Source organism: Homo sapiens, chromosome 22 (genome assembly GCF_000001405.40).
Source record: "Homo sapiens chromosome 22, GRCh38.p14 Primary Assembly".
NCBI classification, from domain to species: Eukaryota; Metazoa; Chordata; class Mammalia; order Primates; family Hominidae; genus Homo; species Homo sapiens.
The window spans coordinates 22,837,895-22,861,289 of NC_000022.11; the positions used below are offsets into that span (position 1 = coordinate 22,837,895).

The 23,395-nt window shown below is 43.8% G+C and overlaps 1 long non-coding RNA gene, 4 pseudogenes and 1 further gene across 2 annotated transcripts in view; 5 read left to right on the forward strand and 1 right to left on the reverse strand.

The window, feature by feature from the left end:
• IGL (immunoglobulin lambda locus) overlaps positions 1 to 23,395 on the forward strand; it is an 896,838-nt gene that overhangs the window by 811,819 nt on the left and 61,624 nt on the right.
• LOC105372948 (uncharacterized) overlaps positions 1 to 23,395 on the reverse strand; it is a 63,619-nt gene that overhangs the window by 16,914 nt on the left and 23,310 nt on the right. For both annotated transcript variants that reach the window (XR_938047.2, XR_001755438.2), the window contains exon 3: positions 675 to 768. This is a non-coding gene — a long non-coding RNA (uncharacterized LOC105372948). The remainder of the gene's footprint in view (positions 1 to 674; positions 769 to 23,395) is intronic.
• IGLV3-7 (immunoglobulin lambda variable 3-7 (pseudogene)) lies at positions 696 to 994 on the forward strand (annotated as a pseudogene). Its single transcript is given in 1 exon segment — positions 696 to 994. A coding segment is annotated over 1 exon segment (299 nt).
• IGLV3-6 (immunoglobulin lambda variable 3-6 (pseudogene)) lies at positions 12,479 to 12,762 on the forward strand (annotated as a pseudogene). The gene is given in 1 exon segment: positions 12,479 to 12,762. A coding segment is annotated over 1 exon segment (284 nt).
• On the forward strand, positions 18,696 to 19,166 carry IGLV2-5 (immunoglobulin lambda variable 2-5 (pseudogene); annotated as a pseudogene). The gene is given in 2 exon segments: positions 18,696 to 18,740; positions 18,858 to 19,166. Coding segments are annotated over 2 exon segments (354 nt in total).
• IGLV3-4 (immunoglobulin lambda variable 3-4 (pseudogene)) lies at positions 19,927 to 20,408 on the forward strand (annotated as a pseudogene). Its single transcript is given in 2 exon segments — positions 19,927 to 19,972; positions 20,118 to 20,408. Coding segments are annotated over 2 exon segments (337 nt in total).

Consider the following 23,395-nt stretch of genomic DNA (forward strand, 5'->3'; position numbering starts at 1 on the left):
GCCTCCCAAACACCAGCATGGCCCCTGTTCCTACAATCTCCTGCTTCAAGATCAACCCAACCCTGCTACCCAGACCAGATGCTAGATGGTCAAGACAGGGCTGTGAGAGCTAAAGAATCTTCAGGGTCCACGATGAATTTACATTGGAGCTTCCTTTTCCACGGATATTCACATCAATAGAGAAGATGACTGAGTTCTTGCCTACCTCTGTGAATACCTGAGACATGAACTGAGATGTGTGTGTGCATATGGTGCGGGCAGCACTTCCTCACTCAATACTAGGGAGAGTGTGAGGAAACTGGATACAGACCTGGAGATAGGGCACATTTTTACACTCTCTATTAAGCCCTGTCCTTCTGTGCTCACCAAGGAGTCACCCAACAAGGCCACAACAGGAAGAGAAGCAGGTTTCTATGAAGAGACTTCTCTTTTTGTGATGAGGGCCCAGGAAGTCCACTGTCTAGCTATGAACTCAGAGGCAGAACTCTGATGCATCTCCACCATGACCTGAATCCCTCTCCTCTACTCACCCTTCCTGCTGTCGGCACAGGTTCTGCCTTCCAGGGCTCAGCCCCATAAGACTAGGGATCAGCCTGGCCCTGACCTTCAGCTCAGCACAGGGAGTGACGCAGTGTGTGGGGCTCTGAGAATGAGACCCTCATCTTCAGACTCACCTCTCCTGTCCTATCTTGTAGGCTCAGTGGCCTCCTCTGAGCGGACTCAGTTGCCTGCAGCGTCTGTGGCTTTGGGACAGAGGGCCAGGATCACCTACCAGGGAGACAGCATAGAATACTTTTATGCAAACTTTTGTACCAGCAGAAGCTAGGACAGGTCCCTGTGCTGGTAATCTATGGTGACAGCAACTGGCACTCAGTGATTCCTGAACAACTCTCTGACTCCATATCAGAGAACATGGCCACCCTGATAATCAATGGGCCCCAGGCTGGAAACAAGGCTATTACTGTCAATCATGAGACAGCACTGATACTCATCTCACAGTGACACAGGCAGACAGGAAAGTGAGACACAAACCCCTTCCCACCTATGTCACCCTCCCCCTCCAACCTCAGGAGGACAGTGGTCAGAGCTATAAGCAGGTCTGGCCCAGTTCACTCAGATTTGAGACCCCCAGGCTGCCCTTCCCTCCAGCCTTCCAGGCAGGCTCAGCAGAGTGTAAATTAAGAGTGGATACACAATGAATTATTAGAATTGTATTTCAGTTTTTCAAGAAGTAGAGGAATGATTGAACATGTTAAGTGGAAGTATAGAATACCAAAAAAGGACTAATTGAGCTTGTACTGCTAATAATTACAGCATCTGAGACATTAAAAACACACTGGATGTGATTAACAACAGATGATGCAACACAAAAGATTAGCAAACTCAATAATGTAGCACTAGAAAATATTCAAAATGCAGCACATAAAGAAAAAATAATGATGAAAATGAAGAGAGTGTTACAGTATATTTATAGAAAAAATGAAGAGTGAGTTATAGGACAACTTCAAACAGCCTGAGGTTGGCTGGGAGGGGTGGCTCACACCTGTAATCCCAGCACTTTGGGAGGTCTCGGAGGGAGAATCCTTTTGAGACTAGAAGCTCAACACCAGACTAGACAACATAACGAGACTTCATCTCTACAAATTTTTTTTAAGAAAATTAACTAGGCATCATAGCCTGCAGCTGTAGTCCTACCTACTTAGGAGCCTGAGACAGGAAGATTGCTTGAGCCCAGAAATTCAAGATGGCAGTGAGTGAGGTACGATCATGCCACTGCACTCTAACCTAGGACACAGAGCAAGTTCCTGGGTCTCACTCTGTGGTTCAGGCTGGAGTGCCATGGTGCAATTACAGCTCACTGCAGCCTTGACTTCCCAGGCCCAAGAGATCCTCCCAGCTAAGCCTCCCAAAGTTTCTGGGACTACAGGCATGCATCACATGCCTGGTTAATTCTTTGTATTTTTTGTAGAGATGGGGTTCTCCCTATGTTGCCCAGGCTGGTCACAAACTCCTGGGCTCGAGCAATCCTCCCGACTCAGCCCCGCAAAGTGTTGGGATTACAAGCATAAGCCACGCCACCTGATGTGAAGAAATATTTAAATACAACAACCTAAAGTATGTATAATTGACATCCATGGAATAGAAAAGATGAGGTGGAGGGTCAGTAGAAAATATATTTGAATAAATAATGGCCAAATATGTTCCACATTTGGTGAAAACCAAAAATTGGTATATCCAAGAAGGTCAACAAAACTCAAGCACAGGAAACATGAAGAAAACAACTCCAAAACACATCATAATCAAATTATAAAATCTAGTAATGAATACCCACTTTAAAGTTTAATTCCAAGAGCACATCTCTCATTAGAAGTAATGCAAGGCACAGTGGAACAATATTTCGAAAATGCTGAAAGGAAAAACTTGTGAACCTTCTGTTATTTATCTAACAGAAATAACATTCAAGAGCGGAGGGTAAATAAAATGTTTTCAGACACATAAAAACTTACAGAATTGATCACTATCACTTTTGGCATTAGAAATGGTAACAGACATCCATAGACAGAAGGAAAATCATACCCAGTTGAAAAGCAAATTCACACGAAGAAATGAAAACTTCAGATAGGGCAATGACATGGATACCTATAGAAACCCCTGTATTATGTTAACATCTATGAAAGATAACTGTTCAAAGGAAAATTAGTAAAAAAATCACTGTGATTTATTGTGAAAACAAAATTAAATTATATGACAAACAGCACAAAAGCAGAGAGGAGTGAAGAACATGTTATAATGGTCTTATACCCTGTATGAATATCTAATCACACTTGAAGACAGATTTTGGTAAGTTATATATGTACCATTAACCCTGAAGTAATTATTAAAATAAACCCTTTTAACAAAAAAGAATTATGACTAGTAGTAACCTGTATTAGGATTCTCCACAGAAACAATATCAATCAGATATGCGTGTGTGTGTGTGTGTGTGTGTGTGTGTGTATTGAGAGAAAAAAGAGTGAAAGAAATGTATTTTGAGGAAGTGGATCATATGATTGTAGTGGCTGACAAGGATTAAATCTGTTGGGCATGCTGAAGTCTGGAAATTCAAATAAGAGTTAATGTTGCGGTCATGCATGCAAATTTAGCAAGCCAGCACATCAGGAAATCTCCATATTTGTTCTAAATACCTTCAACTCACTAATGAGTCCCACCTACATTGTGCAGAGCAATCTGCTTATACAAGGTCAACTAATTAAAATGTTCATCACATCTGAAAAGTATCTTCATGTTAACTCCTATACTGGTGTTTGACAAAATCAACCTGGCCCATATCCTAGCCTATCTGACACTTAAAATTAACCATCATTTAAGCCAGAAAGAAAATTTTAAAAATATTTCTAAAAATAAATCAGAAAAGGAAACAATAGAAGGGGAAAAATAACGAACATATGGGATGAATAAAAAATGAGGAGCAAGAAGGTATATTTCAGTAGGATTATATTACTAATCTCATTAATTGTAAATGGTCTAAATATCACAACTAAAATATTGTCAAATTGAAATTAACAGCAAGACTCAACTATATATGCTACCTAGAATAAACCTACTTGAAATTTTAGAACCACAAAAAGCCAAATACAAATCAACGACAATCTTCCCAACCCCTGGTTTCCCAACAAAGCATTACAAACCGAATTCACAGGGATTAACACATAGTTAAAAAATATGTCTCACTTCCACCAACACTCTTACCTCTCTTCAGCCTCTAATGCCTAGATCCCAGTACCAGAGTTGCAAGAAAACAGGGCACACAAATGTTAAATCAAGGTTACTAAGGGTCACCCTCAAGAGGTAGGTGAAAAGAGAATGAGGGAATTGAAGCCACAAGGGTCCCACTTGCATGGGGCAGCTCCTGCATCACAATGTTGATTGATACATTATTGATGAGTTTTTGTCCATGTTCATGGTGGACATAGGTCTATAACTTTCTTTTCTTGTCATGACTTTGGCTTTGGTATTGGAGTAATGCAGGCCTCAAAGAGTAAGTAGAAAAATGTTTCCCCTGCTGTATAATCTGAAGAAGTTCTTGTAGGATTGGTATCATTTCTTAATTAAAAATTTGATAGAAATTTACTATTTAAAACTGGGTGAGCTTTTCTTAGCAGGAAGACTTTTAATTGCCAATTCAATACCTTCAAATACCATAGATCTATTTGGATTTTCCATTTCTTCCTGAGTCAGTTTTGATCATTTATGTCTTTTAAGGAATTTTTCCACTTAAGTCATTTATACTTTTGGCATTAATTGCTTGTAATAATTTCCCTAACCATTTTAACTTTTGTAAGGTTGGTAGTCATGGCACTCTTTTATCATGGTTTTAGTACTTTGTGTCCTCTTTCATGTTTTCCTAGTCAGTCTACCTAAAAGTAAAATCAATAGGTTGTATTTATCTTTTTGAAGAGCCAAGTTTTGTTTTTTAGAGGCTGTCTATTGTTTTTTTTTGCTATTTCATTAATATTTGGCTCTGATCTTTCTTATTAACTTTTCTTTTTTTTGCTTTGAATTTAAATGCTCACCTTTAGCCTAAATTTATGAGGTACAAGCTTAGATAATTCATTTTAGATCTTTCTTCTTTCCAACATTAAGCATTAAATGCAATAGATTTCCTTCAAAGCACTGATTTAAGCTGTATTTCTTAAGTTTTGATATGTTGTCTTTTTGTGTTTTAAAGGTTCAGTATCTTCTAATTTATGTTGTGTTTTTTCTTTAGCTCATGGATTACTTAGTTGTGTTCTTTCCTGCTCAAATAATTGAAGATTTCCCATAGTTCATCAGGTATTAATCCAATTTAATTAATTATTTTGGCATTAAATAATACCTTCTATGATATTCATCCACTGAAATCCACTAAGATTTGACTTGTAACCTAGAACACAGATTATTTCAAAATCATTTAAAAATGTGCTAAATGTATTTAAAAGCATAATGGGTATTCTGCTCTCATGTTTGAAAGTGTAATGGGTATTCTGCCATTGTGGGTGTAGTTTTCTACAAATTCAATTAGGATAAATTGGCTATTTGGGAGGCCGAGGCGAGCAGGTCATCTGAGGTCAGGAGTTCAAGACCAGCCTGGCCAACATGGTGAAACCCCGTCTCTACTAAAAAATAATACAAAACTTAGCCAGGCGCGGTGGCAGGCACCTTAATCCCAGCTACTTGGGAGGCAGAGGCAGGAGAATCGTTTGAACCCAGGAGGCAGAGGTTGCAGTGAGCCTAGATAAAGCCATTGCACTCAAACCTGGGGGATAAGAGAGGGACTTCTCTCAAAAAAAAAAAAAAAAAAAAAAAAAAAGATAAATTGGCTGATCATTCAAGTCTGTATCTTGATTGAATTTCTGTATAGTTGTTGTGTGGATCAATGTCAGGGAGCTACTGGAATGATTTAACACTAATTTTAGAATTTCTGATTGATTTTTTGAGAGAGGAAATTTTCATGGGTCTAAGTACTTTATTCTTCTGACAAAAGGCCTTTTATGATTTCCCAAGACTAATCTAGGAAGAAAAGGCAGAGTTCAAGCCACAGTTGGTGATACCATGGGAGCACTGAATGATCATGTGAGGTGCCTCCACTGGTTAGGTGTATGTAAATGAAGATTTTTTAAAAAACTAATTGGGAGGCCGGGTGCAGTGGCTCATGCCTGTAATCCTAGCACTTTGGGAGGCTGAGGCAGGTGGATCATGAGGTCAGGAGATCAAGACCATCCTGGTTAACACAGTGAAACCCCGTCTCTACTAAAAATACAAAAAAAAAAAATTAGCCGGGCATGGTGGCAGGCACCTGTCGTCCCAGCTACTCGGGAGGCTGAGGCAGGAGAATGGCGTGAACCCAGGAGGCAGAGCTTGCAGTGAGCCGAGATCGTGCCACTGCACTCCAGCCTGGGCGACACAGTGAGACTCCGTCTCAAAAAATAATTAAAAAATTAAAAAATACAAAACAAATCTGGGCTAATATGTCCAGAAATTTTGAGAAAATGTATGTTGAATAAAGCATGAAAATGTAAAGCAAGGTGATTGCATATGTATAACATTGCTACCACAAGGCCAACCTCATGGGAAAGAAACAAAAACTGTTAGCAGTTCATTATGTTTACTTACACACTGAACAAACATGAATTGAAACCAATTCAATGAACTGTCCCAGATACTGTTTAGGTACTTGAGATGTATTGGTGAACAAAAGAGACAAAAGTACCTGATCTCACAGTGGCATTATGAAAGATGATGGAGTAGGAAATTCCAGGAAATGGTCCTTTCTGTGAAATAACTACTGAAGGGTAAGAACCATCAGAATTAACCATAATAAAATGAGGAAATCTAGTCCCACATTCGCAGCATTGAGGCAAGTACTGATGAAGAAAGAAACAGGCATAAGAAAATCTCTGTCAGGTTAATTTTTGCCCATAGAAGTAACTGAACAGAAACTTTATGGATCACTCTGATAACAAAGTCCTTGCAAAATTATTTTGGAAGAGTCAACTACACAAACGAATAACTGCACCCTTGAGCAGCAACATCAGCCAAGAAGGAGTAGGGAGACAATCTGATTTTGAGAGTTACAACATCACACATTCAAAATACACAGATTTCAACAAAAACTTAAAAAGCAGACAAAGTTAAAAGGAAGCATGACCCATTTACAGGAAAAAGTTTAATGAACTGAATGTACTCACAAGGAAGCAAAGGCATTGGACAAATGACACAAATACTTCAAATAACCATTTACATATGTTCAAAAATTCAAGAAAACCATGCGAGTAACAACCAAACAAAACTGGAAGAATAATGTTAGAACAAGTGAGGACTATCAATAAAGAAAAAGAAGTTATAATAAAAGAACCCAAGCAGATTTTCTAGAACTGAGAAGTTCAATAGCTAAAATCAAAATTTCATCAGATAAGTTCAGCAGCAGTTTGAGCAGGCAGAAAAATAATCAGTAAACTTAAAGATACATTGTTGTAATTACACAGAATGAGCATAAATTTTAAAAGAATAAATAAAATGAGCAGAGCCTAAGAGATACATGGGACATCATCAAGCATATCAATATACGCATTGTGGGAGACTCAGAAGGAAGAGAAAAAAGAAAGTATAAAATACATGTAAAAATAATGGCTAGAAACTTCCAAAATTGATGAAAGATATGAATCTATACTTTCAAGGAGCTCAGTGGCCTTCATCAGGTTAACCTGACACAGACTCACAGTGAGGCACAATATGCTCAAACCATCGAAAACCAAATACAAAAGAAAAATATTGAAAGCAGCAAGAGAAAGAGACTCATCACAAACAGTAGATTCTCATGAAATTAACATTTGGTCTTTGATCAGAAACAAAACAGTCCAAAAGGCAGCACAATAATCTATAAAGTGATTTATAAAAATATATTATCTACCAATTCTGCATTTAGTCAAACAAATCTTCTAAAATAAAAAATAAAATAAGATAATCATAGATAAGCAAAGTTTAGTAGACCTGGTAGATCTGCCCTACCAGAAACACTACAGGAAGTCCTTAAGTCTGAGAAAAGACACTACATAATTTGAATACATGTGAAGAATTAAAGATCTCTTTTAAATATAAAGCTAGTGCTGTTGTATTGTTGGTATGGAGCTGCTGTGTTTTCCATGTTATTTATGAGATATATGGAAAAAAATCAATAATTATAAAGCCATGTACATAGGCACAAAATGTTTAAAGATGTTATTTGTGACATTAACAAGGTCTAAAAGGAGAGGAAATGGAACTGGATAGGAACAGAATTAATGGATATTATTGAGACTAAGTTCGTAGCAATTCTAACAATTTTAAAACATTAATCGTTACTCCAATGATAACTAGTAAAAACTAAATTGAGTGTATAAGGGAAAGAAAATGAAGAAGGAATCAAAATGGACCCAGAAAAAAATTAATAGAACACATGGGAAACAATTATTGGGGTAATTTAGGAACAACAACAACAAAAGATAAAAGATATGTAGAAAACAAACAGCAAAATGACAGACTTTCTTTGTTATCAGTGATTACTTTAAATATAAATGGATTAGATTCACCACTTGAAGCAAAATAACAAAATGAAATTTTTAAAAGTAAAAAAAAAAAATAGAATCCATGATCTATCTACATGGTGTTTATGGAGAACCAATTTAGACCCAAAGACACAAATAGGTTGAGTAAATAGTAACAAAAGAACTGGTGTGGCTGTCGTGACATGATGCAATATTGACGTTAAGTGAATTATAGTTGTAAGTGAGAAAAAAGGGTATTCCTTATTGATAAAATGGTCAATTAATCAAGAAGATATAATAGTTATACACACGTATGCACCAAGCAATAGCACTTCAAAATATGTGAAGGAAGACACATTTAAAATAAAAGCTAGAGAGATCTATAATATAAATTGGAGACTTCAGTACCCCACTTTAAAAAAGAATAGAACATATGAACAAAAGATTAATAGAAAATGCAGCTATTGAACACTATAATCCAGCTAGACCTAACAGATATATACAAAATACTGCACAAAACAAAAGCAGAATACACATCTACTCAAGAGCACATGGAACATTCTCCAGAATGGACGCTATTTTAGGCCTTAAAACAATTCTCAACAGTTTTTTAAAACTTGAAGTCATACAGGGAGTCATCTAAAACCACCAGGAAACGAAGTTTGGGTAGGGGAGGAACAATATTTCCTTCTACTCAACTTAGATTTATTGGCCAGCAGTCCCTATCACACAAGACAGATTAAAAAATAAACTCATGCACATTTATTAAATATAATTTTTACTTGGCATGGGAGCTTTAATAAGGAAATGAAAACTCAGAGAAATGGCTGAACCTGAGGACTTTACATTTAGGTATGATGAGGAGAATACAGGTGTGGAGAAATATGACTAAGAATGAAGTAAATGCAGTAAATGGGGGAAAGAGCAAGGCCTGTGTTCATTCTTCTCAGCACACCTTCATTTTAGAGGAAACAATGCTCTCTTTTCCTCTTCTTTCTAATCAACAACTCAACTTTACAGCTCATGGAACAAGAAAGAGAAAAGCAAACTTAAACCAAAGTCCACAGAAGGAAAGAAATAAGAATCATTAGACCAGAGATTAAAGAAATAGATGAGAAAAAAAACTATAAAGAATATAAATGGCATAAAAAGTTCCTACTTGGATAAGAAGAAGAAAATTAACAAGCTGTTAGGCAAACCAACTAAAACCATAAGAGAGAAGACACAAATAACAAAAATAAGAAATTTGGGATAATACAACCAACGTTATGGGAATTAAAATGATTATAAGAGAACACCATAAGCAACTGTATGTCAAATCTAGAAGAAATTGACAAATTCATAGAAAAATACAAATTACCAATCTAACTGAAGAAGAAATAAAAAATCAGCATAAGAAATAGATTAAGTCGGCAATTGACAATTTCTCTAAAAAGAAAAGCCCAGAGCCAGATGTCCTCACTGGTAATTCTACTAGAGATTTAAGGAGGAAGTAATACCAATCATACTCAATCTCTTCCAAAAATAGATGAGGAGGGAACACTGCCTAGCACATTCTAGAGGCCAGCATTAGCCTCGTAGCAAAAACAAACAAGGATACTATAATACAGAAAACTATTGGCTAATACTCCTGAAGAATAAGCATCTAAAATTCCTAAATTAAATAAGAGAAAACCAAGTCTAACTACACATTAAAGAGAACACATGGAATGAAAAAGCGAGATTTATCCCAGAATTGCAAGGATGGTTCTACATAAGCAAATGAATCAACGTAATAAACAATATCAATAGAGTGACAAGAAAAAGCATATGATCTCAGAAGATGCAGAAAAAGCATTTGACAAAGTTCATCCACTTTCAAGACAAAAACACTTAGCAAACTAGGAACAGAAGGAAACCTGCACAAATTGATTAAAGAAGGGCCTTTATCAAAATCCACAGTGAATCTCACAGTAAATGGTGAAAGAGTGAAAGCCTCCCCACAAAGATCAGAAGCAAAACAAGGACTCCTGCTTTCACAGCTGCTATTCAACATTGTCCAAGAAGTCTTAAATTTCATTAAAACAAAAAAGGCTAGTGCTACCTCCCACCACAAGCATGGATCAGCGTTAGGAAATTAAAATAATGGTAATAGAAAAATTATAATGACAGTGATGATGGTGATGGTTTTTTAAGTACACAACTGAGGTTTAGTGGCAGAAATCCGGTACTTCCAATTACAGTGCAGCTGTGCTTATTGGGGTGACGGAATCAATCTCGTTTTCAGTATACATGGGAAGCAGGAGTACATGTAGGGTACAACTGCATTTCTCTGGAACTGTTTTTCACAGAAGAGCTACAGTTTATCCTGCACTCTCCATTCTGTGATCAAAAACCATGAAACAGAGAAAAGCACTTCAACCTGAGACTCAGTCACAAGAACTGCACCTGCCCCACCTTCCCGCAACTATATATGCCACCTCTCTGTGCTGAACCATGAAGGCCAGAGGGGTTCACATGTGGCACAGACGGAGGCTGGACTCCCTGGTCCGCACCCTCCCAGGTGACGGGTGCTCTGGGATCACCTGGAGAAGGCAAGTGCCTGGGCTCTGTCTTTTCCACCAGCAGAGGGCAGCAGAGCTGCAGCCAGAAGAGAGGCTGGGGCTGCCCAGGAGGAGCCTATGAAGGAGGCCAGCCTTTGTGGGGGGTGGTCAACAGGTGTTCAAGGGATCAGTCCTCACTTTGGAAGTTTGGTATAGTCCCTCCTGTCACCTGGGGCTGCAGTGTTCATATTCTGAGGGTCAGACACACAGCATCACCCAGGATACTGACAGGGGCCCAGGCACAGTGACGGCCTCAGCTGGGAAACACAACTGGAGGCACCTGGGCCCTGGTGTCAGCCTGGGCAGCTCCCATAGGGCTAGGATTTCCTAAGAGACGCTCCGAGGTCAAGGTGCTCTAGGAGGGGGAACAGTGTGAGGGGACAGGGCTCCCGGGGCTCAAGCCCTTCACCCAGGATGGCTGCCTGAGCCTCCTGCCATTCTAAGGGTCTCATTCCTCCGTGTCCAGCAGCATCCTGGGGAGCTGAGCCCTCTACACTTGGCACTTCCAGAGACACCCTACCACCCCCTCCCTCTCCCTCTCCTTCCAGCTCCAGGCCGACTCTGACTCAGAGGCAGCTCCTATGCTCAGGGGATTCTCAGGTGGGTGGCGTGGGACATTTGGGATCCTGGTCCCTGGATGGGGCATTCCCAGCCTCCTTGCGGAGATGCTCTCCAGAGGGAAGGGAATGTTCACCTGCCTCAGGCCACAGCTCTGACCATGGGACTATCCTGGGCTCAGTGACAAGATCTGTCTGGCTGGAGGGACCAGGGATCCCCCACCCTCCAGAGCTCATGGGTGTTCAGAGACCACGACGCTGGAACCCTCACAGAGACCAAATAACCTAAAGTTAGTTTCTCAGTCAGGTCTGGGTTTCTGGTGCTTTTTACACATTTATATGAAACACTGATGAGAAAAAATAAAGAATCAAAGAGCAGAGGATGGCAATTTCTAGTCTATTAGAGAGATGGGGGGTGTCATACAAGGAGCAACTCAGGTGAGAAACGAGACTAGACTGTGTAATGAATCCACATGAGTTGTGGCTGCTCAAAGGACCAAACCATGGTAATGGAAATCAAGTTTAGGATATAAGTATCCTAAAGACACAGAACCACATTCTAATTAAACTACCAGGACAGGACCAAGTGAGTCTGGGAAACCCAGAGCTGACTTGGAGGAGGAGGAAGATGATGGGTTCCTGGCCCACCTGCTGCTGAGTCAGGTGTCATTGATGATCTCTCAGCACGGCCCAGCTCAGCCCCATGGCCAGGCTCCTGGAAGGTCCACAGCCCTGCTGAGCCTGGCCTAGGACACAGCACAGGCCAGGATGGTATAAAACAGTGGTCATGTGGCCAAACTCCAGGAGGTGACTGTGATCACAGGCCTTCAAGGATGGAGTCTGATCTTCTGACCAGAGAAGCAGATAAAGTGAGCTGGGACCCACTTCTTCTTCCTCAGTCTGCTGTGCTTCCCACAGAGCTGGTTTGAGTGACATCCTTCAGTGAGGAGTCCCAGAGGATGCCGATTTGCATCAAACACTCACTGCCTCAAACGGCCTGAGAGGCAATAAGAGAGAGCTGGTGAGCCCAGCTGTGCTGTGGGCTCAGGAGGCAGAGCTCTGGGTGTCTCACCATGGCCTGGATCCCTCTCCTGCTCCCCCTCCTCACTCTCTGCACAGGTGCTGCCCCCAAGCCCTTCCTTCAGGCTCAGAACCCATAGGATCCTGAGCTGGGCCTGCCCAAACATGAGTTCATCCCAGGCACAACCTCAGGGTGGGACCCCCTGGGAACAGATTCATCATTTACAAGCCTCCTCTCCTGTCCTCTCTTGCAAGCTCCTATGAGCTTACACAGCCACCCTCAGTGTCAGTGTCACCAGGACAGGCAGCCATGATCACCTGCTCTTGAGATAACCTCAAAGATGAGTATGTTTACTGGTTCTGGCAGAAGCCAGACCAGGCCCATACTGGTGATATATGAAGGCAGCAAGCGGCCCTCAGGAATTTCTGATTTTCTGAGTCCAGCTCAGGGAACATGGCCACCCTGACCATCAGCAGGGCTCAGACTGAGGACGAGGCTGACTATTACTGTCACAGGTACAATAGAAACAGTGATGAGCCCACAGTGACACAGGCAGATTAGGAAGTGAGACACAAACCCCTTCCCAATCTGTGTCACCCTCTTTCTCCAGCCCCAGGATGGCTGTGGACAAAGCCATGAGCAGGGCTGGTCCAGTTCACCCAGTTCTGTGACCCCCAGGCTGCTCTTCCCTCCAGCCCTCCAGGCAGGTTGTGAAGAGGGTGAGTTAAGAAGAGATTTGAGGCTGTGTGACAGGCTATCCTGGGGTTTTTCTGGCCAAGGATAAAGCTGGTGAAAGAGAGCCTGAATGGACGGGCAGACAGAGTGGCCCATGCACGTAGTGGCAAAAGACCTGGGTTTCCACATGCCAGCCCTTCAGGCAGGCTCTGCAGAGAGTGGGTTAGGAGGAGATTTGAGGCTGTGTGGACAGGCTGTTTTGGGGTTTTCTAACCCAGGATAAAGCTGGTGAAAGAGGGCCTGGATGAAAGGACACACAAAGCGTATCTTTCATCTAGTGGTAAAGGATGTGAGTTCCATATGGTGAAGCCTGGGTCACCCCTTGGCCCAGACGTCCTAGGTTAGTCCTCAGCATTTCCCTAGCACTTAAGTTCCTGAATCTCCTGGCAGCCTTATATTCAAAACGGTGTAAGCTGGAGTGGACGCTGTGGGGTCCACCTAGACTCCACGTTAAGGTCGACCCACACACTCTCAGAGCCTACGAGTGGATACCCATGCTGTGGGGCACATGTCACCTGACAGAGTGGCTGACCACCCCTGATCTCTTCTTTCTGACCACTTGGGTGTTTGGCACTATGTCCATCATGGACACTCTATGGGCTATTAACCTATGATTCAAAGTTTCTTCTGTGTGGTGCCCGTGCCCAAAGACCACCCACAGGCTTCTGCCCATACTCCACTTCCCCCATTTCCAAGTTTTTCTCTTGCAGTCCCTGGAACACCTGCCCAGGTCATTTCCCACTGCCCTAAGCCCCTATCTGCCCTGGCATCCGGCCACTCACCTTTCCTCACAAAATGAATGACCAGGCGCCATGCCCTCATGCAGGAAAGATGTCCCCTCTCCATTGTCTCTTAATGCCACCCCTTAGTACACCCATATAGTGCAGCTGTGCTCTACTTCATGGTGATCCAGTTCATTGCTGGGCTACTCTGGAAATTTTTGCTCCATCAGCTGAGCAGAGGGACTGCTACCCACACAACGTAAGTGTAAACCCAGGGAGCAGTGCTAGAGCAAGAGAGATGCAAACTTGGCTGTGGACCACCCACAGGTTACTCAGCTCTGGGGCCCTGCTCCTGCTCCATCCTAGCTGTGTCACATCTGTCTCACCAGGGATCGCTGCTGGGGTCTGCCTGAGCACACGACGGGGGAATCTGGCAGTTCTGGCTGCTTGGTCACTGAATGTCCGATGCTGTCCTGTATCTACCAGGGAACAAGAGCACATGGGGAGAGTTGTTTTCCAAATGAATATAATTCTCTCTTGTGGATGACATGGAATTGTTCCAAATCCCATGGGATTGGAATCCCATTGGGAAAATCTCATGGGATTTTCCCATGAGAGATTGCGTAAACATGAGTTTTCAGTTCCTATCATAAATTCTTCCATTCCTATCACCAATTCTGTGACTATGGTAGAGTCTGCTGGATTCTGTGGTCCCAACAGCAGGACACTCATACCCCTGCCTGAACCTGGTGCAGAACCTCCCTGCTCTGGGCTCCAAAACAGTGGGCGATGTTCATGGCTCCTGATATATGAGTTGGAGCCACATCCCCAAGGGTTAAATATGCTGCCTCTAGACACCAGAATGACCTTAAAGCTTTGTGTTTCTTTCTGGTGGGAATTGTAAGATCTAATAACGTGCTCTTTATTTTGTGAGAGATACTAAGCTGCTCCAGAGAACTCAATCCTAAACATTTCAGCTACTACACAGGATGAATGGTCTTAGGGCTTGTTTCGCACTCTCAGGAATGCGTGGGTCTCACCAAAGCTTCCAATAGACAGGGCCCCCTCATGCACATCTGATCCAAATACAGAATAGAGCCCTAGGAGGTTCTCCTGGGTGTTCAGATGGTCAAAGCCCCTATGACAATATCATGAAAAAGAAGGGAGAGTTAATGAAGTTGAAAAAATAAAAGTATAAACCTATACTGCTGTCTACTCCTTGTATGCACACCGTTTCTGATCCTGTTCTGAGAGGAATAGAATGAGTTTCTGCATTGATGGTGCCTGCTGTGCACCTGTAGCCATGCATGGTGGTGTGTTCTATCAGGGTCTTCATCTGGCACAGCAATGGCAGATGGAACTACCAGCTGACTGCGTCTGTAGAAATCCACTTCCATCTTCCAGGATCCATTCAACAATTGTAGGAATCATTTCAGTAAACCAAACACAAGAGCCTCAACTATAACTACAAGTCCTCCAGGAGAGGAGAACGCTGTCTCAGAGGGTGCATTCCTACTGGAATTTCTCTTCTCTTTGGGACAAACCAGCCCAGAGGAGGCACAGGGGCTGTGTGTCATCTGGTTTCCTAGATGAGGTGTCTCCTCCTCACTGTCCTGAGATTTTGAAGAAACTGGGGAGATTGGTGCAGACACTCCTTGGATCCTTACAGGAAACTTCCTTCAGACCACACACTCCTCAATTTGTTCCCAAGCTCCAAAGTTTCTAAAGTCACTGTCTAAAGGGCCCACAGTGTTTTTGTGGAGTGGTGGAAAAGCTCTGGGGATGGAAAGTGGTGGTGGTTGCAAAGCATTCTGAATGTACTTACTGTTGCTGAATGCACACTTACAAATGATTGAAATGGTTTAAAAATTGTTCATTTTGCCATAATAAAAATACTGCACACTCTGGAGGAAAGTAAACCTAGTTTAATTTTGAAATTGTTCAATGGATACCAATCAAAGAATAGTGTAGCAAGCACCATTTCCCCTCTCGCTATAGCAGCAACTGATCCCCTTGTGCTCTTTTGGACTCTCTCCCCTGCTCTCTCTCTCTCAATAATAAGCAATGCTCTTCTCTCCAGTCCAAGCTCACACTTCCCCAGTTGTGCAGGAATGCCTATTGTAACTGTTAATTTATTTCCAGGCAGAGTCCTCAAGATTCCTCTGCTCATATTCTGTTCTCAGCTGTCTGGAGCCAGCATGACAAGTGAGCCAAGATCACTTGTCATGAGAGACTTGTGGAAGGTTTTGCAAAAAGTTCCCCAAGAAAAAACAATGCTCATTGTTGACAGCAGGTCCATTTCCACACAGTAGGGCCATGCTGGGTGTGCAGTGGGGCTGTGCACACTGTGCCCACAGGCCAGGCTCTGCACTGCTGACTCTGATCCTGTGCTTGGTAGGACCTTGTGCACTGCTGAGTCCACTGCAGACTCGACCCTGAATGGGAAGGTGGTTCCTAGCTGCTGGGCACTGAGTCTCATAGAGGGACAGATGGTATTGAGGATGCCCGGCCCCTGATGTACATAAGGGGACAAGGTCTGCTGGTAGAACAGGAAGATGAAGGAACCTGTGGCTCTAAAGGTGGGGTCTCCAGCCCTCAGTCTCAGCTGCCCATGGCCTCATCTGTGTGCACCTTGTCAATCCAGACCATGTGAATTAGAGGTGAAGGGAATTGAAGGACTTTCCCATTTTCTCCCATTTTCTCTCTTGGTTACAGAATGCACCCTTCCACATATACTGTATTAGAGCCTGTGCTCTACAAACATACCTGACACTAAATTAGTGACTTTTGAAAGTGCAGATAGGTACAGCAACCAGTCCCTCTGGAGACATTTCCCATAACATGAACCAGTGAACCCATCTCTGAAAGCCCTCATGTTTTAAAAGACAAGATTTTTGAATTTCAAGGAAAACTAAACCTTTGAAAAAAACATGATTCAAAAGAGAACCTTGCCACTTTCCATTCCTGCTTGGGCTGCAGTGAGGACAGATGCAGCAAGTGCTTCTGATGTCTGTGTCTGTTCCCCTGTGTGGACGCACATATCCAGGCGAGTTTCAGTGAGGTAGGAGACTTCGGCAGCATTGGCCGGGCTCTGGTTTGCTTCTGGTGCTAACGGAACATGGAAGAGAGGACAAGGTAGCGTGTCCTGAAGATCACATATTTCCTTTTTGCAGGAAGTGCCTGGGCTCCTGGAGTGTTCTCAGGGCTTTGATCCAGGCCACCGGCTCCGCAATCAACATCACTGATATTTCAGCAGGTCATTGACCTAATTCCATTTTAGTGCTATCTCAAATGGAAACATTATTTTCTTGTAACTATTCATATAGCAACATAGCACTTAAATATCTAAATAACACACACAGAAACAGTAGTCTCAAATGCAAAGCTGTCACCTCCCCACACCACACACTTTCTCACCCGAGCCCCTGAGCCCACCCTTCCCTCGGCCCCCCCTCTCCTGTGCTGTTAGAAATCTCTGTCTTCTAACAGGGACAGTGACACAAAACAGCCCCCCCTCCCGCCCAGCACTCACACCGCAGAGCCCCTAGTCCATCTCCTGAGGGAACGTTTACGTTTCTATTCTGACAGAGAGAAGTCGCCGTGAATGGAGTCTTTACCCCAAACCCAGGAGTTTCTGAGGAACACATGGGGTCAGCCACTGTCTGTGTGGGGAGGCTTCACCTCAGGGAGGCGCCCGGCTCTGGGCTGAGGGGGACTCAACGTGCACTAAAAGGCAGGACTAAGGCAAGTCCCGGGTCACAGTGTGAGGGACGCACGCGCCCTGAGGAGGGGTCCCTGGTGCTAGGCCTGACCCAATTCTAACCCCAGGCACCTTTCCTCAGCTCCTGTGGCCCTGGGACACCTCCCTACCCTGCTTCCCATGAGGCTGGTCACAGCTCTTGTGAGCACCGCCTCCTCCATGTCACACTTTTTCTGTCAACATTTTGAGGAGCCAGTTGGTTTTCTCCTCATTCCATGTTCCTGTCCCACCTGCCTGCTGGGGGTGGATTTATTTCATGTATGAGGTTTCCTCAGCCTGAGCCACAGCTGCCTCAAGGACACCAACCCTGTGGGACACTCCTCTGGGAAAAGCAAACAAGTGCCAAGAGGAGCATCTGAAGCTCTGGTGTGGGAGATGTCCTCCACCCTGGGTCAGGGGAGTCTGGAGGGGATGAGAAGGGACCAGGGGCCTGGGATTGAGCTGTGAAGGGAACCAAAAGGCAGGAGGGACAGGGCAGGGGCTGTCAGCTATGACTCAGGGGAGGTTCCTGGGCCTCAGGATCCTCCCTCTGAGGCCACCAGGGGGCGGGGGTGGCACATGCCTGGACCTGGGAGGTCCCTGCTGGGCTTCACCCTGGGTGGGTCCTAGGAGCTCCTTCCTCCTAAGTCCCCCTAAAGAGACAGAGGCATTCTGGGGTCCTAAATCTGTCATGCCCCCATAAATGCATTTCTACGAGGGCCAATAAATGAACTCCAGGTTTATCCAAGCAGCAGCTTCAGGCGTCTGCAGACACAGAGCGGGGAGGAATTAGCCAACCTGAGGCACCCTAGAAGGGCTGAAGGGGGCTGAAGGGGACTGAAGGGTCCCTGTGGGGCCTGTGGTCCTGGGGAGGGGAGAGCTGGGGTGTCTCCCAGCCACTCTGGGCCCTGTCCTGACACTTCTCCCACAAAGAAGGGAAGGGAAATCCTGGGACCCCACAGCCAGGACCAACCGTGAACCACAGGACAGGAAGGACAGGGACCCCCAAGGCTGGCTCCATTTCCCAGGCACTGTCATGGGCTGAGTCTCAGGAAATCCAAGTCAAGGAGTTTCAATCCCCCTGGCTGAGCCCCACTGTCCAAGGAAACAGAAGTCTACGGGCCCAGGCCCAGGTGAGGGTGGGGTAAGAAGAGGAGCTTAGGATGCAGATTTGCATGGAGGCCCCGCCCTCCTCTGAGGCATCAGGGTAAGACAAGGCTGGGGGCAGGCCCAGTGCTGGGGTCTCAGGAGGCAGCGCTCTGGGGACGTCTCCACCATGGCCTGGGCTCTGCTCCTCCTCACCTCCTCACTCAGGGCACAGGTGACGCCTCCAGGGAAGGGGCCTCGGGGACCCTTGGGCTGATCCTTGGTCTCCTGCTCCTCAGGCTCACCTGGGCCCAGCACTGACTCACTAGAGTGTGTTTCTCCCTCTTTCCAGGCTCTTGGGCCCAGTCTGCCCTGATTCAGCCTCCCTCCGTGTCCGGGTCTCCTGGACAGTCAGTCACCATCTCCTGCACTGGAACCAGCAGTGATGTTGGGAGTTATGACTATGTCTCCTGGTACCAACAGCACCCAGGCACAGTCCCCAAACCCATGATCTACAATGTCAATACTCAGCCCTCAGGGGTCCCTGATCGTTTCTCTGGCTCCAAGTCTGGCAATACGGCCTCCATGACCATCTCTGGACTCCAGGCTGAGGACGAGGCTGATTATTAGTGCTGCTCATATACAAGCAGTGCCACTTAACCACAGTGGTCCAAGTTCTTGGGGAACTGAGACGAAAACCTGCCCTGGGCTCTCAGGCTCCCTTTTTGCTCTGAAGATGTTTCCTCACCCAGTGCAACGGGCTTCCTGAAGCACAGCCTTGAGAATTCTTCTCCCTCAGCAACTCTCTTTTCCCACCATGAAATCCAAAGGAAACCTGCTCTGTGGTTTCTCATCCAGGACAGGGACAGCTTCCTTTTGCTTGTGTGTTGTGGTCCCTGAGTGGGTGCAACTCTTCCTAGCTTTTTAAATTATGGGAGGGTGACAATGAGCTCCCTGACTGGTGCAGTCCCTGCTGTTTTCAGGAACATCCTCATCCTAAATGCATCTGAATCTCCCACTGTGTGCAGACCAATCTGGACAGATGTTATTAGGGGGAGTTTCCAGAAGCCACATCTTACTCAACTCTGTATCCACCACACTCTGGTGAAGATGCTTTTTTGGTGCCCATCCTCTTGGGTAAAGTCCACTCTCTACTCATGACAGCCATGTGTCCCATCTTCTGAACTTGGGAAATTGCCACACCAAACCCTCAGGCTCAGGGCCCACATAGGAGCTCAGAAAGACGCACTGGGAAATGGAGAAGAGATCTGCATCCACCCCTCAGTGGAGAGACACCTAACTAGATAATAAGATAAGGAAGTAGGTTTGCATGATGAGTCTCCCCTTCTTATGATAAGAGAGACCTAGAGACCCCCTTCTCAGGTGTGCGCTCAGAGGCAGAACTCTGAAGCATCTCCACCATGGCCTGGACCCCTTTCCTGCTCACCCTGCTCACTCTCTGCACAGGTGCTGCTTCCCAGGGCTCAACCCCCACAGCACCAGGGAACAGCCTGGCCCTGACTTTCAGCTCATCACGGCAGTGATGCAGGGTATGGCACTCTGAGAATGAGACCCTCATCTTCAGACTCACCTCTCCTGTCCTCGCTTGCAGGTTTTGTGGCCTTCTCTAAGCTGACTCAGCTGCCTGAAGTGTCTGTGGCTTTGGGACAGATGGCCAGGATCACCTGCCATGGAGAGGACTTAGAAAGCTATTATGCACACTGGTACCAACACAAGTCAGTCCAAACCCCTAATCTCATTGTATACAATGATAGAAAGCTGTGCTCAGAGATCACTGAGCGATTCTCTGGTTCCTGCTCAGGGGGAACAGCCACACTGACCATTACTGGGGCTCACGTTGAAGACGAGGCTATTTTTGTTTTTCTGGAGATAAAAACACATTCATAGTGACACAGACAGATAGGGAAGTGAGGCACAAACCCCATCACCATCTGTATCACTCTCTTTCTTAAGCCCCAGGAGTATTGTGGACAAAGTCGTGAGCAGGGTTAGCCCAGCTCAGCTGGATGTGTGACCCCGAGGCACCTTTCACTCTAGTCATCCAGGAAGGCTCTACAGAGGGTGGGTCAGGAGAAAATTTGGGGCTGAAAACTAAGCTGTCCTGGTGTTGTTTAGCTAGGTATGAATTGGCTTAAGATGACCTGACTGGTAGGACAGTCACAGCAAGATAACCATTGAGTAATCATGTTGCCTGGATTTCCTTTTGTTTAATGACCAAACCTAAGGTAGCTCTCTGGTCCAAAATGCCCTGGATTAGTCCCCTGGACTCCTCATTCTTTAACTGAGACCTTTGATCCCAGCTGTCATGGCATCATGATGTCGTGAACAGGGAAGTCCATTGTAATGGCAACTGTGACATCAGGGGTCATTTACCCACTATCTACCCAAGGCCGCAGGGAATCCTTGGCTTCTCACAGCTTTTTCTCACTGGAAAATGCCATTGAGTGCAGAGTACTGTGTCTTCCAAGGATGTGCCCCCTCCATAATGTGGTTTGGGAGCAATGATTGCCTGATGCCTAGATTCCAAAGCCATGCTTTAATTCAGGATGACCTTGAAGTGCCTCCTGCTGAGTGCTCAATTGTAACACATTCCCAGAAGAGCCTCCCACACTTATTTTCTGGGACTATATACCCGAACCCTACTGCATGGAATTCAACCTCTCAGAGTAACTTTCCAAGAAACCCAAAAATTAAAAACTAAACAACAACAAGAAAACAATATAGAGAGAAGAGTATCAAAGAAAAGCAAGTTGTACAAAGAGAGAACTCTGGAGTCTTCAAATATTAATAAGCATCAAGCAGCACATGTGTGGACGGAAACTCCATTTTCAGACAAACAGCAGTCCAAAGACACTCGCGGGAACACTCCACAGAGCATTCTTTCTCTCTCTCTCTCTCTCTCTCTCTCACACACACACACACACACACACACACACACAAACACAAAATATGAATCCTGCTTGTTCCTACAGTCACAGAGGAAAGGCCTGAGTTAAGGAGCATGAGGTCGAATCCTCGGAACAGCTTTGCCTCAGTCCTGGAGAAAATGTCAGCCTAGACAATAGGCTGGTCTGGTCTCAACTAAGTAAGTTAAAAAGCAAGTTTTAAAAAGTACCAAGTTTCCGAGTAATTATACTAAATCCAAGAATAAAAGACCAAATAGACAGAGAAGTGCAAGTATATTCTAAATCCAACAAGGAAAAACTCAAAATGTCTAGCACCTATCAGATTTCCTTGCAAGAACCAAGAAAATACATGCTATAAAAAGCAGAAAAGTTCATCAGTCCAAAGTCTCCCTGAAATTGCACAGATGATAGACTTTGTAGGAAGAATACAAAAGCGATACTTATAACTATCTTCCACTTGCTCAAGAGGGTACGGGATTGATTGAACATGTTAAGTGGAGACACGGTAGACATAAAAAGATCAAAGTTGAACTTACAGAAATTACCTCTAAAATGTCCGCGATAAAAATAAATACATAAATAAATAAGGGCCAGGCATGGTGGCTAATGCCTGTAATCTCAGCATTTTGGGAGATCATGGTAGAAGGATTATTTGAGCCCAGGAGTTTGAGAACAGCCTGGGTGACACAGGGAGACCCTGTCTCTACAAAAAAATAACAAAATCAGATAGATGCATGGTGCACACCCATGGTCCTAGCTACTTAGGAAGTGGTGGAAGAATTGCTTGAGCTCTGTAGGTCAGGATGGCAGTGACCTGTGATCATGCCGCTGAACTTTGGCTTGGGTGATAGAATGACACCGTCTCAAAAAAAAAATGTCTGAGAATAATTGTAGATTAGCTCCCGCAAAATAATAGATTACTGAACCTGAAGATATAACAATGAAGCTCTTCAAAATGAAACACCAAAAAAGAGAAGATAAAAAATTACACTGAGCATCAATGAGTTTTACGACATCTTCAAGGAGCCTTAATTGTATAATTAAATGAACTAAAGGAGACAAGATTGGTGGAGGGAGAGGGAGGGTACAAAAACCACTTAAAGAAATAAGGAAAAACGTGCAAAATTTGGTGAAAACTATAAACTTATGATTTCACATAGTTTAACACAACCCAGACACCCACACACAAACACAAACACACAGACATCATATACACAAAAAAACACACACATAAAGAAAACATCAACACCCGCCATAATCAAATTGCAAAAAAAAAAAAAACAAAAACAAAAACAAAAAAAAACTGTGATGGAGAAATGCTCTTAAAAGCAGCCAGAGAGAAAAGACATGTTTGATGCAGGTGAACACCATAATGATGAGAGTAGCTTTCCCATTAGAAACAATACAAGCAAGAAGGCAGTGGAGGTACATTCATAAAACTTTTTAAAACTTACTACGCACAGCATTGTACATATTCAGTGTAATCCCTATCAAAACACCGATGTCATTCTTCACAGAAATAGAAAAAAAAAATCAATCTTGAAATTTATATGGAATTACAAAAGACACTGAATAGCCAAAGCAATAGTGAGCAAAAAGAATAAAGCTGCAGGTGTCACACCACTTGTTTTCAAAATATGCTACAAGGATATAGTAACCCAAATTATACTATACTGTTTTATAGTATAAAACAGACACAGACCAGTGTAACAGAATAGGAAACACAGAAATAATCCACATATTTACAGACAACTGGTTTTTGTCAAAGGCACCAATAACATACATTGGTTAAAAGACAGCCTTCTTGGTGCTGCTGAGAAAACTGGACATTCACAGGCACAAGAATTAAAATAGACCTCGATCTCTCACCACATACAAAAGTGAATTCAAACTGGATTAAAGACTTAAATGTAAAACTTGACACTACTAAACTACTAGAAGAAAACACAGGGAAAATAGGGAA